Source organism: Homo sapiens, chromosome 4, assembly GCF_000001405.40.
Source record: "Homo sapiens chromosome 4, GRCh38.p14 Primary Assembly".
Taxonomy (NCBI): Eukaryota; Metazoa; Chordata; class Mammalia; order Primates; family Hominidae; genus Homo; species Homo sapiens.
In genome coordinates, this window is record NC_000004.12 from 173,233,773 (window position 1) to 173,252,888 (window position 19,116).

A 19,116-nucleotide genomic window follows, 5' to 3' on the forward strand; every position below is an offset into this window, starting at 1 on the left:
ACATGCTTTTTAATGTCTCACCCTTGCCTTTGCTTTTAAAAATCTTCAAGCTTTTCCTATTAAAAACAAACTAAATTTTCTCATTCCACTTCATATTTCTTCCAGCTGCCTCTTCATCTCTATTCATCCCTTAACAGGCAAATCAAATTTTTCAAAAAATGTTGTCTATTCTTGTTTGTATCGTTTCCACATCTCCCAACTCCACACTTCCACTCACTCCAGTTGGGCTCTTGACACCATTACCCTGCCAAAACAGCTGTCACTGAAGTTATCAGTCAGCTTCAACTTCACGTTACCAAATGCAATCCTCATCTTGCTTGGCTTCTCGACATAGTTCACCGTGCCCTGTGTCTTGAACACACTGTTTTGGTTTTTGGTTTTCTTTCCACATATTGGGCTAGTCATCTGTCTCTTCTATAGTCTCACCCTCTTCCATCCATCATGTAAGGGGTGAATTCCTCAAGGCGGGATCCAAGATCCTCTCCTTTTCTCACTTTATAATCTCTCCATCACTCGTCTTATTGGCTCTTGAGTCAATTATTATCTGCATAAAGATTTGTGCCAAATTATATTCTCCAGTCCAGACCTCTTCACTGAGCTATAAATTCTGTTTCTGTCTCCTCTTGAATGTTTCAGAAGCACTTGAAATTCAGCATATCTAAAAGGGAACTCATCATCTTCAATTCTGGTCTATTTCAGTGTTTCCTCTCTCAGTGAATAGTATCCAGTTGTATAAGTTACAAATCTTAAAGTCATTCTTCATACCTCCCTCTCCTTCATCACACATATCCAATCCATCATGATTGGATAGCAAAAGAAAACAGTTGCTCATTTTACTTCGTAATTACTATAATTTGAATGTCTGTCCCCTCAAACCTCATGTTGTAATTTGAGTCCCAATTTTGGAGGTGAGGCCTAATGGGAAGTGATTGGGTCATGGAGGCAGATCCCTCATGTATTGTTTCAGTGCCATCTTCACTGTAATAAGTGAGTTCTCATTCTGTTAGTTACCAAAAGCACTGGTTATAAAACAAAACAAAAGAAAACAAAAAAAAACTGGCACCTCCTTCTCTCTGTATCTTGCTCCCTGTCTCGCCATGTGATCTCTGCACACACCTGCTTCCCTTCCCTACTGCCATGCATGGAAGCAGCCTGAGGCCCTATCAGAAGGAGATGCTGGTACCATGCTTCTTATACAGCCTGCAGAACTGTGAGCCAAATAAACCTCTTTTCTTTATAAATTACGCAGCTTCTGGTATTTCTTTATAGCAATACAAATGGGCGAAGACACTAATTAACCCTTGAATCTGTCCACTTTCCACTTTTTTTCTTCCACCACCAAGATTCTTATCCAGACTACTGCTGTCTATTCTGGAATCTATCCTCAGTCACTCTGGCCTGTTTCCAGGTCTGTTCTCTTACTACTCAGCCAGGGGATTGTTTTCAAAATGCTTCTGTCCCTTCCAAGGTACATTAAAGCTATTAACTCACTTTTTACTGCTCTCAGATGAAGTCCAGATGCATTACCATGGACACCAGGCCTGGCTTGATCTAGCTACTACCTAATCTTCAGCCTCACCTTGCCCCAGGCACGCCTCACTCTGTACTCCAGCCATATCTAGTCCTTCTTGCTTGGCATAGGCCTTCCTTCTACAGGCACTTTGCACAACACGTTCTCTACCTGGGATACTCTTCCCTCCTGTCTTCACCTAAGTAACTTCTGTTCTTTCAGATCTTTGCTCAGTGATGTACTCATTCTCAAGAAAGCCTTTTCTTTTCTTTTCTTTTTTTTTTTTTTCTTGAGACAGAGTCTTGCTCTGTTGTCCAGGCTGGAGTGCAGTGGCACAATCTCTGCTCACTGCATGCTCCACCGCCCAGGTTCACACCATTCTCCTGCCTCAGCCTCCCAAGTAGCTGGGACTACAGGCACCCACCACCACGCCCAGCTAATTTTTGTATTTTTAGAAGAGATGGAGTTTCACTGTGTTAGCCAGGATGGTGTCGATCTCCTGACCTCGTGATCTGTCTGCCTTGGCCTCCCAAAGTGCTGGGATTACAGGCGTGAGCCACCACGCCCGGCCACAAGAAAGCCTTTTCTAACTTCCTAAATTGGATCAATTCTCCTTGAAGTTTCTTACAGCACCATGTTTATATGATTATTTGTTTATCTGTCTGCCCCACTGGACAGAAAGAGCCACAAAAGCAGGGATGTATTTGCTTACCTTTGTATCTCTGTAACCTGGTACATAGTAGGTACTCAGTACATATTTGTTAAACCATCAGTTAGGCATTTGAAAGGAATGTCTAGGGCACAGCAACAAGGGGATCACAAAAATGCTTTGTGTGCTCTAGAAGGTAGAAAGCAGTATGACAGATCCATCCTCTAGCTGGGTAGGAGAGAACCGTGAGGAGTCCAGAGGCCTTTCTAGTTCCATGCTCCTGGGGCCTCCACCGTTGTCTATCAGAGAGCTGGCGAGCGAGCCCCACTGCAGCACTGCCATTACCATACTTCCCTGGCCTATACCTTCAGACTTTGTCATTCTTGTTACTTCAACATCATGACTGCAGTTTTTAGCCCTGTTGACCACTCCTGCCTTGAAATTCTCTCCTACTTTGCCTTCTGTAGTATTTTATTTTTAAGTTTTTTCTTATCTCTCTGACAACATCTTGGCTTCTCTTCCCACTCATTTGCTCTATCCGAGTACTCATTCCAAAATTCAGCTTTGATCTCATGGCTCCCATGTAAGAGGATAAAGTCTGAACCTCTCAGCAGTTCTTAAGAGACCCTCTGAGGAACTTGCCAGTATCTCAAGTTTCATCTCCTGCCCTTCTGTTATAGCAAATGATTTGGCATTCTCTAAGCACTCCGTGTTTTTATGATTTTGTGCCTTTTCCTCATGCCCCACCTTACATCCCCACCGCCTATGTACTGGGGAGCCTCTACTATTTTCAAAACGCAGATCAGGTCACTTAGGCCTGCTCAGGCATTCCCTTCCTCCAGGCTGTGACTCCCTTAGAGGCAAGGCCTTTTTCTATAACATGGCACTTTTATATAGAGTACCTGGCATATAGTAGACCTGTAATAAATATTCGGATAACAGAAAGGACAGTTCTTTTATCTTTTAATGATGCATATAAATAGTAACCTGAATGACAAATAACACTCATGATAAACCAGAGTATCACTGAATAAGCATTCCTTCTTGAGAACAGACCTCTTGATAGTTAAAAAGTAAAATGTCAAAAAGTTTATTACATAAATAACCTTGATCTACTCTGACTGTATTTTTCTGTCTCACATAATTCTGTTACATTGTCACACCCTCCTAAAATGGATTTCTAGTCGTGCCATGGTAATAAAATGTTGTTCTAGGCTTTAAAATGATACATCTGCCCTGAAAGCTTTGAGGTATTTTTTTCCCTGGGGTGGTTATTTTTTCAGATTGCCAAGAGAAGGTTATCATATACCAATCATAATGTATGTGTTGTAAAGCCACACATTGCAATACTTTTTTTATGAGCTGTTATGTAAGCCATGCTTCAGGGCAAAGCAGGGATGCAGTGGAGGAAGAGCCGTTTTATGCATTTCCAGCTGCACAAAGTAGTAACATTTCATGTGGCAGTGCTATATTCATTTTCGAGTTTCTCCCCTAGAGGGATAATAGGACATTGCTTTTTTGCCTTTCAAAAGGGTATAACAAACATTCTCTCCCAACACAAATGCCACATTTGACCTCATTCTGCTCTCAGTCAGTAAAATGTTTTTCTTAGTGTCATAAGAATTATTTTCTGTTGGTGACTTTAATTTCCTATAAGGTTTTTAGGAAGGTTTGGAAATCATTATATGGTTTCACTGGGTTTGCCAGATGTGAAGGAGGATTAAGAATTAAACTGTTTGCTTGGCTTTGGCTGGTATTAGATTATAAAATGCACTTTTATTGGAAACAAGAATCAAAGGATAGGCCTAAATAAGTACTTCCCTGGATTAAAAAAAAAAAAAAAGTGTTAACAGTGTGGTCTCCAGGGATTGATATTCGGAATGCTATTTTAAAATATTTTAAAGAGCATCGAGAAAAGAGAGAGTCTTAGCTCTTCTAGGTACTAAAGTAGGGTTGATTGGCACAAGCTGAAAGTTCACTCCAAAACATTATGTGAGTGGGCAGAAGAGGAGCAGATGTGACCTCATTTTCAATCAGTTCAGCTTTTAAGCCATTCCCCTTTCTCCACCTGATGAAATGCTGTGGTTATTCTTTTGAAGGGTCTGTTTAGCAGGGTTAATTTCTTATTATCCTACTAAGCCATTTGGTTTTTAAATGTATATTTCCTCTCTCCATGTGCATACATAATATATATGCATACATAAATTATTCATATGTTTAAAATTTCTCACAGATTTTATTTTACAATCTTTCTTTCATTACTTTGCTTTCATTTTTTTTCTCTTCACTTTCCCAATACCTTTCTTATTTTTAGACAGATCATTTTGTAGGAATAATGTGGTAAGATATTTCTTGTAAAATATTGACTTCTATTAAAATATTTTGTGTAATTTATGATATCTCATCTTTAGAATAAAAATGCTACTTAGGAGCTTTCTTTTTAAAATTCAGGAATTGCTTAGTTCCTAAACATGAAGAGTTAAAATCTACTAGAGCCTTTTATTATTTCTAAAAAGTATAATTATCAGCCTTTTAGTAGCTATGAGAGATGGACTGTTCAGTGGCATTCATATGCCTTGTGTTTATAGGCCTGTCTTGTCATACGTGCTCTTACCACTGAAATGATGGCATAAACTTTGACAAATGCAGTTTTATCACCTTTTGAAATATACTACAAAACGATGTATTAACTGTTTAATATTTATGTGTGATTTTTTTCAAGTTCAGTTCAAATCAGCTAAAGAGTTAATGTTAAATATTCACAATAAAAAATATTTTTTAAAACCTGTAATGCATATTTATGATTCAGTTGATGAGCCAAAGCATGAATTTTTATAAGGTCTCTGAAAGATAGAACTTACATAGATTTTATAAATATTTTCAAATTTCATGTGTTACATAGACTTCTTAATTAGTTGTCTATGATAACTTTGATCTGCTCCAATTAAACAGTCTTAAGAATAAAAGTTTTTTTGTAAAACAATAATCAATTTGTTGTTTATTTTTCTGTTGCAAAAATTAACCTGTATTTTGGTCCTTTAATTACTTGCTTGTTTTTAAAATTTATTCCCACTTGAGTATTAACTCATGTTTTTCTGACCTGATTTAGCAGGGAACTGTTTGCAAGATAAATTGGCCAAGAGAACTAAGACTAACATCAGCAGATTTCCTTTTTCATGTTTAAATAAAGTACTCATTTTCCTTGAAGTGCCAACATGATTTATCCAAATCTGAGGAAGAGAAGAAACTAAAAAAAGGATTATTCAAATTTTAGATTTGTAGGGAAATAATGTTTTCACTTATCTCATTTGGATTCCCAAAATGCTAGCTTAAACCAAGCCAAGCAGTGGCATAAGATAATAGACCCAAAATCAGTTTATATTCCAGCAGGATAATAGATGAGCCACAGCTGGATGTTCTCCATTTACTCATCCATGAACAAACATGCACTGAGTACCTGCTGTCTACTAGGTACTCGGGACACACAGATAAATAATACACAGTATCTGTCCTCAAAGAGCCCTCACTTTGACTGGGGAGAAACATACAGATACTAAGGCAATACAGAAGTGCAATGTTAGAAATATTCACACGTACGAAAGCCGAAAGTGCATCTGTGTAAACAAAACAAAACAAACAAACAAAACAGGACCCAGGACCATGGGAGGAGGGCAGAGTTTCCCAGGAGCTGGTTCCTGAGTTTAAATGTGCTGGTTTGAACTATTGTGTAGTTAATGGTAAGTTCACATTTACAAAATAGAACATTAGACATTACAGTGTTAACACAAAGAAGGGTTTTGTATGAAATCTCCCTTTTTCCAGTAATAATTTTAACTTATATGTTGAGAATCGGAAGTTTTTATTTTGTAATTTACCATGATGCCTTTAAAATATGCCGTGCATTGTTATGGTTCTTTAAAAGTAAATTTAGCATAACTTTAGTAAATTTGATCACCTACTTTAGTTTGGATGAACTAAATTTTGTTCAAAATTGTACTATATACTTCTGAGTAAATATAACGGATTTGTTACCCATATTTACTAATATCACTGCCAAAACCACTTTTAAACTATACCTAATCACTGGAATAATCTAGAGTTCCAAAAGATCAAACTTGTGACTTAGAAGATTTTGTATTTCTGAAGTTTTTCTTCTTAATATAGCCTCTTATCTCTGAAACACTTTAAATAAATGTATATCATCTAAAGAAAGTTATACTTGTCCATTAAGATTGGGTTCTGGTAAAATAAAGGTAATATTTCTTGTCAGTTGAAGAGCAATTTTCCTAAAGCCTGAGTGAAGAGGTGCCTCCCCACCAGAAAGTATATTCACTCACAATGTCCAATGATCTGAGATTAAATGTCAAATACTTACTAATGTATCTACTTGAAATAGAGATGGCAATGGAAAGTGGACACTGGCTAATTTTTTTTTTTTTTTTTTTTTTTTTTTTTGAGACAGAGCTTCGCTTTTGTGCCCAGGCTGGAGTGCAATGGCACAATCTCAGCTCACTGCAACCTCTGCCTCCCGAGTTCAAGAGGTTCTCCTGCCTAGGCCTCCCGAGTAGCTGGGATTACAGGCATGTGTCACCACGCCTGGCTAATTTTTGTATTTTTAGTAGAGGTGGGGTTTCTCCATGTTGGTTAGGCTGGTCTCGAACTCCAGACCTCAGGTGATCTGCCCACCTTGGCCTCCCAAAGTGCTGAGATTATAGGCATGAGCCACCGTGCCCAGCCGAAACTAAGACTGGGGATACCATCAGTGCATAATTATTGTCCAAAGACAGAACATATGGGACTAATATGTCAGTGTTTTTTATATACTAAATTGAAATAAATCTGGTGGGAACAAACCTGTTTAACCCTTGTTTGGCTTCTTCAATGATTTTAAATTCTTAGAATGGTTCAAAGTTTTTCACATTGAGATCCAGCTCCCCATCTTTCACCTGGAGGAAGAAGCTCTGTGGGGGGTTAGAAACAGGGGGATGGCTGTGCATGCTTTGCTTCTGTTTAAAAAGGGAATTCAGTCTCCAGAAGGGAGGGGATTGCACTGGATGCTTGGAGCAGGCATCAGAACATGTAGATGGTTTTGGATAATCTTCATATGAGGTTATCTTCAATAACTCAAAGAGTTGATTGACAAAAAATAGTTGATTAGCCAGGCACAGTAGTTCATCCCCTGTAATCCTAGCATTTTGGGAGGCCGAGGTAGCAAGATTGCTTGATCCCAGTAGTTCAAGACCAGCCTGGGCAACAAAGTGAGACCCCATCTCTATTTAAAAAAAAAAAAAAAAGAAAGAAAGAAAAGAAATAGTTGATATTTTTCTAATGAGCATGTAGTATTTTTGGTACATTTAATTTTCCTGTTAAGTCAGGCAAATCACGAAATTATACTAATGATGTGGGAGAAATTGCATTAAAACTGGGGGAAAAGAGCCCAAGACTTAAAACTTACCTCATCTAGATATTCTGTAGTTGATCATAATTACTGTACAGAATGCAGAGATCTTTAGAAAATTATTGTGTTGATACAGATGGGGACTTCTTTTAAGAATTCCAAATGGTAATGCATAAAAATCCTAAGATTGGTTAACAAGTTGCAAAATTGTGAGATTTATTGAGAGGCTCTTATATAATGGAAATCTTCCTTTTATTCAGATGACTAGGTGATCAAAAATGTGATATAGACAACTTTTTAAGAAGATACCTTTGTTTTTGAAACAGGGTCATGCTCTGGTCCCCAGGCTGGAGTGCAGTGGCACAATCATGGATCCCTGCAGCCTAGGAAGATACTTATTTATTTCAGTATTCTTCATTATAGTACAGGATAGATCTGTATTATATACTGTATTATATATTTTGCTTGTTTGGTTAAAGGGGGGTGGCATTTAATTGGCTCAAAATGCCCCCTTAGAAACCCGATAAAATCTTCCCAGTAGGTGGCTAAAACTGCTTCACAGACTTGCCCACTTGTAACTGCAGTTACCATAGTATATTAGAAGTCTTGAGATAAAAATAAAAGATATAACTATTAGCTATTCCATAATAGGCATCACTCCATTGTCAAGAGTCCCAGTGTTTCAATCTGTAAAGTAACTTTGGGACGAACTGGTTTACTGTGTAGTACTCAGCCTGGTTACCCTGCTTAAGTTTAATATACAGTATTAGAGTTGCTGACCTTGATTTCTTTTAGTGGAGCATTATGATGTCAACTCTACTATTTTCTCTATTTTGTTACCCTTTGGTTTATATCTTGGCCTGATACTTAAAGAAAGGGAAAAAAAAGATAAAGAAGAATAGCAATTCCTCTAAGCGGGTCTATTTCTTTGAGCAGATAATTCTTACCAGAATATCATACTTTAAGCCACACCTAGAGCTTATATAGAATTTTTATATTTCCATAGTTACCTGAAAGCATGCTTCATCCATTTTCAGTTCTGCCCTAGTTGCTAACAGAGGCATTGCCATTGGAAAGTGGCCTTCAATCTCTTTCTAGTTTAGGGATATTAAAATATACTTGGAAATGGGTCCTTTCCTGTATGGATGACATTCTAGATATTTAAGGACTGGTAAGGTCTCTGTTTAATCTTGGGCTTATCCATTTTAAGCCCTGATTAAGCACAAATTCCTTGACCATGCCCAGCAGGGCTGCAGCTCCCAATGCAGTCATCGCTCAGTGCTCTGAAAGGAGCAAGACATGGAGCTCTTCAGTCAGCCGGAAATGTCTAGTCCATCCAGCTGTAACTAAGCAGAGAGAAAGAAGGGTACTGAGGCTGGTGCACTCCACATTCCCACCCACATCCTGCCACATGTTGGTGAGAGTCTGGGGAGCCCCAGCCTACTGGCACGCCTTGTTCCCTCTGAATTTCTGGAGCTTATTTATTTTTACCACCTCCCTCTCTGCTTTCTGTGTCCATTCCTTCTGCTCCTTTTAGGTAACTGCAGCCAGAGAAAGGATGCTGATAGGATTTTTCTGAAGAAAGGTGTTTTTGATCAAGAGAGTTAAAATCACAGAATGAAGTTTGGCTTGTTATACCTTTAAATTCTGTGGCTCATGAAGCATGATAACCAAGTAGTGTGCATGTTGTTCAAGCAGTGGCCCTTTCCTAAAGCTAAGTCATCATTTCTCAAGAGATCATGTGACTGCATAAGCTCATCATTAAAAGCTTAGTTTTCTAGGCTTCACCTGTGATTTCAAATTCAAACAAGCCTATGTTACTGTCATTTGCTCTAAAGACCATTTTTCTAAATCCCTTTGGATTTATATTATCTCTACCAAGGCATGGCCATCTTGGAAAAATATTACATATAAGCAGGATTTGGGGGTAAGAAGGGGCACTTTGTAAGTTGTAAGGTGGATGGTTACTAGCCTGACCTTACTTCTGGTAATCCATATTACCATCCAGTGATAAGTGGTTATATTTTTCAGTCCATTTCCACCTTTATGAACATACTGATCTTGGAAAATTATCTACTCATCCTCTTTTCCATTTCTGTTTAACAGTGATTCATTAGTTTGGGCTGTAGAGTGGATCAGCTGGTGTTTACGAAGGTATCATTGTACCAGTGAGTCACAGAGGCATCTACTGATTCTCATTCACTCTCAGAAAGGAGGAGTATGTAGCTTTCCTCCTCAGGGGAGTAAAGTATTACACCACTTTATAGCCGTTGTTTGAATCATATAATTAAGATTTGATGTGATTATTCTTAGTTGACTTGGGGTTAGACAGACAATTCTTGTATTTGGTTTTGCCTTCCGATTTAATGACATGCAGCCTCTGAGAAGTGAGCAAATTCAATTTTTCTGGTGCTATTATATGGCATTATTAAAAGTACAGTGCCGTGTAGGGAATATAGAGTTATGTTCTTGGTGAATTCATAAGGTATTGCCAGTACGGGTCTATCTGATTTAAGCCCTGCTCTCCCATTTTGTATTTTCCATTCTTTATCTCCCCTTTTCTTTTCGGAGTCTATCTTACCACCAAAGCAGAAATTTTAGGATTCATTCATTTATTCAGTGAGTATTTATTGAGGAATTATGTGCCAGGATAAGCACTGGGCATGCAGTGGTGCGTACGATGGACATAGCCTCTGCACTTTCACAGAACTTACAGTCTAGTGCAGGGACTAGGGAACCAAATCCAGCCCAACACCTGTCTCTGTAAATACATGGTTACTGGAACACAGCCATACCCATTCATTTACATATTGTCTATGGCTGCTCCCACACTGCAGAGGCAGACTTGAATAATTACCACAGGGACCCTGTGGTCTGCAAAGCCAAACATGTTTACTACTTAACCCTTTGAAGAAAAAGTTTGCTGACCCCTCTCTCATGGATAGTGCTGAAGACATTTCATAAATGCAGTCTAGAACTGGAAAAGCCTTGCCAACCCCCTTGAGGAGTGTGTATTCTCCAGAGGGCAGTGGGCTACTGCTGGAATATGGTAAGCAGGGAAAGAAACATGTTGATGTATGAATTTTAGAAAAGTCCCTGTGGCTGCTGTGTAGGAAGTATGTGTCAGGGCGAGAAGCACTAGGTCATAGTAGTTAAGAGTGTAGATCCTGAGCCAGACTATTTGGATTGAAATTTTGACTCTACTACATACTGATTCTAATCTTAGGTAACTTCCCTGTCAGATGTCCCATCTATAAAATAGACATGGCAATCATAGTACCTAACTCATGGGATTGAATAAGTTAATGTATGTGAAGCACTTAGGACACAGTGTTTACCATCATCACTATTATTCCTATTGTAATCTTGTTCAGAGGTGAGGGTGCCTGAATTAAGGCAGTAGCAGTGAGGATGATAGAAAGAAGTGGCCAGATGGAGGCTCTACACAGGTGATAGAATTGACAGGAATTTATGATTAATTGGATGTCAGAAGGGTAGATAAAAGAGAATAAAAAGTTGAGGGTGATTGCAGGTTTTGGATTTCATCAGTTGAGTGAATGGTGGTTTCAGTCCCTGAAGTAAGGAGACAGTCAGTGAAACAGGCTTGTGATGTGAGGTGAATGATAGGTTCAGTTTTTGGTATGTTAAATTTAGGTACTAGAGAGATATGAATAGAAATGTTCAGGAAGAAGTTGCCTGTAAGGTTTTGAGTTCAGAAAGGTGATACGGGCTGGGGAAATGGATGTAGCAGTGATCACTATAAAACTGGTCACTGAGCTTGGAAGAGAATGAAATAACCTAGAATGAGGATGGAATGACAAATAGACTAATAACAGAACCCTGAAGAACACTAACAGTTTAAGATTAGACAAAGAACCATTAAGTCAAAAAAAAAAAAAAAAAACAACTTTTGGAGGAAAATAAACATGAATTTTTAATCCATTAAAATTTCTGTCATTGAAATAGTTGAATTTGAAAAATATTTAAATTTGCAATTTTGGTATTAGCATAGGTCAACCTAAACTATGGCGTGTATTTCACAATTTGATTTCATGTACTATCATATTCTATATTCTTCTAATATTCAATTTCTTCTCTATGGAACATTAGGTAACTTAGTGGATGCTATGGCTATGGATGCTGACATCATATGAGCTGTTCCAACTACTCTTCTATATTTAATAACATTTCCTTACCTCCCTGTTTACCAATTCACTTGAGCCTGTGAAAGGAAAAACTGAAGTGGAGGAGAATGTCTTTCTCCTTTTTGTGTTATACTTGTTTCAGCATCAACAACTGGGAACCAGTTTGTTACAACATTTTATAATGATATCTCTATATTAATTTACTTACAACACTAACATAAGTAAGTATAATTTTGGAAGGAGCCAGGAGATAAATTGGAGAAACGAACACTTTTTCCATCATCAGAATCACCCCTTACCTCTCTCTTACAGTCATGCGTGCCTTACACTTTACTTAGTTAATTCCCAAGAGAATCTTCAGTTCTTCCTGAATATGATTTCCAAAAAAACAGCCTTCTACTCACTTACTCTGACCCTTAGTATGGCTCACAGGTTAGGCTCAAGCTAAGTCTCTGAGGTGGGACAATCAGAAGGCTGATCTAGAGGCTTTCTCAACCCTGTACCACACATGCCTGAAGAAAGGCATCACATTTATACAATCAGGCTGTGTTGCCTTTTCTATTTAGGGGGGAACTTGTGAAAAACTTTGAAATGCTCCCAAAAGATGTCTGTCTAACTCAACTTTCCAGCTTATCTCACCCTTTCCTATTTTACAATCCTGGAAATTACAGAAAACTGAGAGTGATGCAAAGGACTCTTGCCCATTGAAATGGAAATAGTTCTGGTGGAATGCAATTGATTATTGCCCTATGCAGAGTGACCAATTTAACCAGATTTGCATCTATTTGTAAATTCTTTGCAATATTCTTGATGTTTATGTTTGTCCTTTGGATTTATTTTTGAACCAGTTGTAATATCTTACAGGTTCCTTTTTTAATGAGTTAGTTAAAATTTATGTCCCATCTTCAAAAAAAATTATCTTGTTATATATACACATGTATGTTTATACATGCATATCACATCTGTAGAAAAATTCACAAGAAGTTGGTAGCTGTAATTACCCCTGCAGAAGGAAAGGCAGGAAAGCTTGCTTTTCACTACATGCCCTTTTGGATGTTTTGAATTTTGTGTTGTATGCCTATGTTACCTAAACAAATAGAAAATTTTTAAAAATTTCTTTTTGAACTCTTGAAAATCAAGACTTAGCGATCCCTTGACTACTAATTTCACGTCTGAAATAACTGACTTTCTATAAAGGTTTTTGCCTCTAAATAAACTACTAATAGAGAGCAGCCTACACATCAACATCATACTTAGAGACTTACTTTTGTATTTTTTAAGGCAAACTAGTAAACTTTACTTTTCAAGGTAGCTCTAACCCTGTAGAAAGATTTTGGTCGGGTGGTGCTAATTCTATGACTACTCTGTTGGGGAATCACACAGTTTTAGTGTAGAGGGAAGTGGCAGACCCATCAGCCTATTTTGCATTTATTCTGTATGCACCTTGCCTCTTCACCAGCTGTGTCCTCTATAATCCCCTTGTCTAATTATAACGAGCAGCCCTCCCATTAAGCCAGTGATTCTCAGGCTTAGATGTATATTAAATCACCAGGAGTGCTTTTAAAAATCGAAATGCTTAGACCAATTGAATCACAATGTCTGAGGGTAAGACACAGACATTGGCATTTTTTAAAGTGATCAAGGTGATGCCAATGTTGAGAAACAGTGTCTTGTGCGAAGAATGGTACTGGCTTAGGAAAAAACTTAACAAATAATACCTCAGAAGCAAAAGCACTCAGGATATCTGACTGGAAGATCTGCATAGGTGATGAAGACGGCCCAAACAGAAAAGAGAGGCACCCTTTACTGTGAATGAATATCCTTGTACAAAGAATCTGTTTTGACCCATGCTGCTTCTGGAATGGGGCAAACTAGATATGGGGGAGTGGTTTAAAAGCCCGAGCTGACTTAGTTACAGATATTAGCTTTTTTTATACTTCTGATTTCAGATAAACTCTCAGTGAGTAAAAAATACCAAATCGGGACTCTGCATATCCCCGCCTTGTTCCTCTGCCATTTGGGGCACTGAGCCAGCCTGCTGACAGTGACATCCATCTAATACCACTGCCACCATATGGTTGTGCTACCGACAAAAGGTTATATTTATCACACACGGTACAACTGGGAAAACCACATACTGTACAAACATGACCTATTAAGCATCTGTTTTAATCAAAGATTCTAGAACTTCTTTGCTCTAACCCTTAAAAATATGCTTTATTAAGAGGTCTTTGATAGAGAAGTAGATTTGTAAAGGGAGAAGTAAAAATGCATCCTTTCATTAATTTTGAAATAGTAAGGCGAGGAGATAGCCTATTTCTTGGTATTTCTTCTCTACCCTGAAAGATATCTCCTAATGGGAAGTCCTGATTAATGGCCCGCTTGTATTCCAAACTGTTTTATTGTTGCCTCAGCCTTTTTCAAAACCTGAAAATTGGTCTCATGAGCTCTACTGTGGTGGTTTGCCTTCATGTACTCATTGTATATCCCCTCCCTTTTGTATAGGAAGACAGAGATGTCAATGACCCCATGCCCAACCGAGGCGGCAATGGACTAGCTCCTGGGGAGGACAGATTCAAACCTGTGGTACCATGGCCTCATGTTGAAGGAGTAGAAGTGGACTTAGAGTCTATTAGAAGAATAAACAAGGCCAAAAATGAACAAGAGCACCATGCTGGAGGAGATTCCCAGAAAGATATCATGCAGAGGCAGTATCTCACATTTAAGCCTCAGACATTCACCTACCATGATCCTGTGCTTCGCCCAGGGATCCTCGGTAACTTTGAACCCAAAGAACCTGAGCCTCCTGGAGTGGTTGGTGGCCCTGGAGAGAAAGCCAAGCCATTGGTTTTGGGACCAGAATTCAAACAAGCAATTCAAGCCAGCATTAAAGAGTTTGGATTTAACATGGTGGCAAGTGACATGATCTCACTGGACCGCAGCGTCAATGACTTACGCCAAGAAGAGTAAGCACACATCCTCTTCTTTCTAAAAATGGGGCAACTGTTGTTTTCATAGGTTTTTAGGTTTAGTTAGATTGTTAGAATGAAGAAATAATTATTGATGCCTTTATTTCAAGGAAATAAGAGGATCTTTGAACAGCAAAATGGTCAGAAGGAGGCAGTCCCTCCATTTATGCCATTGTATTGAAGGTGGGCTGTATAAAATTCTGGGGCCCTCTACGTCAGTGCTATTCAAAATATGGTCCCCAGACTGGCACTGGTCAATGAATTTTTTGTTACCAGTCCACAGTGAGAAAATGAGCTTGCACCAGGATGTAAGTCAACTACACTATTAAATATTTTGTTTAGTTTAAGTGACAACTTTTTAATAGCAAAACTTCCTTGATTTGTTGATTTTCATTCTGGAGCAAGTGCCTTATCTTGTTGTGGAACAATAGCAAACAGTAACAGTGTTCTGGGTGTCTCACATCATTAACTAGATTTATGTTTCCTTTAATTTTTTTCCCTCAGTACTGAAACTGGAAATTGAAACACTTTACTATATGCAAAAGTAACACTCAGATAGATAAAACTGTGACCTAAGATTTCCAATTCTTTTCATGTAGTATGATTTTTAAATGAAGGATTTTCAGCTCTTAACTTTTGATGGATAGTGATTACTGAATGAACTCAAAGCTTTTCTCTTTCAGTTTATTCAATAACTGGTTCTACTACTATAGGATCTACATAGCTTTCATTAATGTAGTTGGAAATTTAATTCACTGCTACTAGAAAACACTCAAAATGTATTCCTGATGATGTATTGTTAGCATAATCTTCATTTTTAAAAGGTTAATACAGCAGGTGCTCACACTCCCATACCTGTTCACATACACGTATGCATGTACACACACACACTCACACCTATTCACCAGCATTCTTTATGACCGCTAAGTAAAATCCTGTGTCCAATATAATGCCATTTAATAGACTTTGAGCATTCCTGTACATTTACTGGTAAAAGTGAGAAGAGATGAGTGAAATGTGCAAAGAAGGTAGGAGTGGAAGTGCAGCAGTGTGATGGTGAGTGATACAACCTCTTATACAGAGAACAGTCAGAGCATCTCCCAGGGCTGTGAAGGAAGAATCTTAGAGTAATTTATTCCCAGTAGAGACTTGCCTAGTCATAGATAGCATTGCCAGATTTAGCAAATAAAAATACAAGATGCCCAATTAAATTTGAATTTCAGATAAATGGTTAAAAAATTTAGTATATGTTCCAAATATTGCATGGGACATACTTAAAAATTTTTTTAAATTGGATTTCCCTGAAATCCAATTTTAACTCGGTGTTCTGTGTTTTATCTGGCAGTCTTAGTCAGGAGATAAAGATGGTTGTTAAAGAGTTACAGCTGCCATGTGAGGACCCTTTAGGACCCCTAACAGGATCTCGAGTCCCTCGTCTAGAACGTGTCTCAGTTATCCTCAGTGCAGCACTCAGTCAGATCCCTCATCTCTGTTACAGAGGTGCTTTGCGAAATGACTGGTGGCATTTCATCACTGTAATGAGGGAGAAGGGAAGGGACTTTCTGCTGCAGGCTGGGACTTAGTATAAAGTTATTGAATTCTCACAACCAAACTGTGAGAGAGCTCTTACCTGTGTGTGTGAAGTCTGAGGCTCAGACAGAGTTGTGACTTCTTTGCATTTACCTAGAAGAATGGCAAAACTGTGAGTCGCCCCTAGGTGATTTGGTGTGAAAGCCCCTTTGTCTCCATCACTGCACACCTGAGGTATATATCTCTCTCTCTGAGTAGTGTACCTCAGTGCAGATGTTACAATCAGAGGGTGAGCTTAACAGTGTGGAAACAAGAAATTTTAGCACATAAACTGTTTATTTAAAAATATGTCACTTAAAACACCAATATAAATATAGCTAACTTTTCAATATAAGAAATAAGAAAATTAAATGATGTACAAGGCTTAAAGCAGGGCACAGGATTTAGAGACATCCTCTGTGCCTTCCTCCCCTTCACCCCTCACATCCAGTCCATCAGCAAGGCCCCTTGGTTCTGCCACCAAAATGTAGCCCAGATCACTTCTGAGGTCCGCTTCTTTCCTCTCCTCTACCTCCACCTGAGGCCATGCAACCATCATCTCTCCTGGAATCCTGCAGAAGTCTCGTTACTGGTCTTTCCATTTCTACTCTTGCCTCTTACTGTCTTTTTTTTCAGACAGAAATCAGTGTGGTCTTTTAGAAACCCAAATCTAAAACCATTCTGTGCCTTCCCATTGCACTTAAAACCCAAACTCCTAACGTGCAGCAGCCCCCACGCTGTGGCCCTTACCCACCTTGCAGACCTCTTCTTGCTACTATACTTCTTGCCCACATAGTCCAGCTGTGCTGGCCTGTCTCAGGTCTTCTGCATATGCTCTTCCCTCCTCCATGAATGCTTGTTCCTTTCTTCCCATGACGGGCTGGCTCCTTCCCATCCTTTAGGCCTCTCTTGCACTTCTCTAACCATGCTGTCTAATTTGCTAAGGCCCCACTTTATTCTCTATTACTTCTCTTTAGCCATTTTCTTCATGGTATCTATCAAATTTTATAATTAGATATTGGTTTATTAAGTTGTTTATTGGCTGCCTTTCTCATTAGATAAGTTCCTAAGAGCAAGAACTATGCCTATTTGTAAGCCTAGTAACTGACAAGTAGGAACTCAGTAGTAGTACCCAGTTGGTAAATATCTGTCGAGAATGAATGAACGTGTGAATGAAATCAGCCAGGGTTCAAACCTTGATGCCATCACTAGATGTGAGATCTTTGACCAGTTACTTGTCCTCTCTAACCCTCAGTTACCTAAACGTTAAGACAGATCTAACCATACCAATCTCTCAGGATTAGCATTAGAATTAAAATGACATAATTGACTACAAAAAGTCTTTTATTAGCCTGTTGGTTAGAAACCTGAGTATTATTAGCTGTTTTTACTGCTATGGTATTTTCTTCCTTACCTTGTTGTCAACATTCGAATGTTTTCAGTTACTATTTAGCTTTGATAGGCTCTGTTGCTTTTTGGAAAACATAAATGTCACACATTGCCTTGTCTACATCCTCTTGCTTCTACTAGTACCTTCCATGATGCTAAAGCCTTCATTTCCTTTGAAAATTTCAGACACACTGATTTCCATGGGAACCTCGCATCTCTGAGTCCTCCTTGCACCCCGCAGTTTCCTTCCTGTCTCCTTTCTTTCCTTCTTCCATGCCTTGCATAGCCAGTTCTGTCCCGTGTTCTTTCCTCTGGCACAACTGGAGCAGTGCCTAGAAATAGGACATTGCATGTTTTTGTGTATTATTTCTGTAAATATTGTGTCTCCAGTAAAATTAAAAGGCCCAAATCTATTTTAGTAAATGCTCCTAAGCCTCTCTTTGAAATCCTATACTAGTGATAAAAGTCATTTTTTAATATTTCAAAATGCCCAAATATAATAAATCCCAGAAACTTTTTTAAACTGAATCCAAATTATTTTTTAAACTGGATTCTTTCTCCCACTTAAAAAAAATGAGATAGGCTTCATTCCTTTTTGAACACTTACAATTCAGTGTAGAGTATAACATACTTTTCTAAGTAAAATTATTTATACTTTAGAATGTGGACAATCTTTGGAATTTTTCTCTAAAATAATAACCAACCATGAATAAAAATCGCCTAAGTGTTGCATATTACCTAATATGCATATTAGCACTTGTCTGCTTTTACTAGCAACATATTGAAAACATATCGCACATCCATATTGTGCACATGAGGATGCACCCTTCCTCATCCTCATCCCTCATGGGGAATGTGCTTGGAGCCCCTCAGAAGCTGGCTTGCTGTGGCTGGCTTTTTGCCGCTTCAGAACACAGGCCCTAACAGCCTTGTTCTCCTGCCTCTGTCTGTCATAGAAATGAGGCACCTGCATAGCTTAGAGACCAGGCTTGGGCTGTTTGTCCAGCTGTGACATCTGACACTGTGGTTAGCTTGTTCGTTCTTGCGGCTGTTGTGTAGTCTTTGTAGATGAATGTTCTCTTCCCTAGAAGCAGGAGAGAACTGTCCAGCTGCTGGCATGACTCACACTTCTGTATGTGATAGCTTTGAATTACATTCACTGACTGAGTAATTTATTGGCTGTTGATTGCGTGTTAAAAGGGTGAGTAACAGTATTTTGAGTGAACTGGAGGCCTGCTTCTTTTTTAAAGACTTGAGCCAAGAATGACTTCACCTGCCTTCACACTTTTTTCTATAAAATACAAATATGATTTTCTTCACAGTTCAACAGATATTGAGTATCTCTAATATGTAATGCACTGTCCCTGCCTTCAAGGGGCTCACCATCTACCACTAGGGAGAAAGGAAAGAATGCCATAATGTAAGGCAGAATGTAAGAACCATTAGAAAGGTATTTTAATAATGTGGTTCAGAGGAGTGAGAGGTCA

At 38.5% G+C, this 19,116-nt stretch overlaps 1 protein-coding gene across 11 annotated transcripts in view, besides 2 other annotated features; it reads left to right on the plus strand.

Moving 5' to 3' along the window:
* GALNT7 (polypeptide N-acetylgalactosaminyltransferase 7) overlaps nucleotides 1–19,116 on the plus strand; it is a 155,157-nt gene that overhangs the window by 64,962 nt on the left and 71,079 nt on the right. For all 11 annotated transcript variants that reach the window (XM_047415780.1, NM_001375599.1, NM_017423.3 and 8 more), the window contains one exon: nucleotides 14,208–14,668. In XM_047415780.1, coding sequence (XP_047271736.1) covers nucleotides 14,208–14,668 — 461 coding nt within the window. The remainder of the gene's footprint in view (nucleotides 1–14,207; nucleotides 14,669–19,116) is intronic.
* Nucleotides 13,104–13,153: a silencer, noted in NCBI's record as "silent region_15806". NCBI's record gives its function as "represses an Ori minimal core promoter by ATAC-STARR-seq in GM12878 lymphoblastoid cells {active_cell/tissue: GM12878}" and the evidence as "EXISTENCE:reporter gene assay evidence [ECO:0000049][PMID:35858748]".
* Nucleotides 13,174–13,243: a silencer, noted in NCBI's record as "silent region_15807". NCBI's record gives its function as "represses an Ori minimal core promoter by ATAC-STARR-seq in GM12878 lymphoblastoid cells {active_cell/tissue: GM12878}" and the evidence as "EXISTENCE:reporter gene assay evidence [ECO:0000049][PMID:35858748]".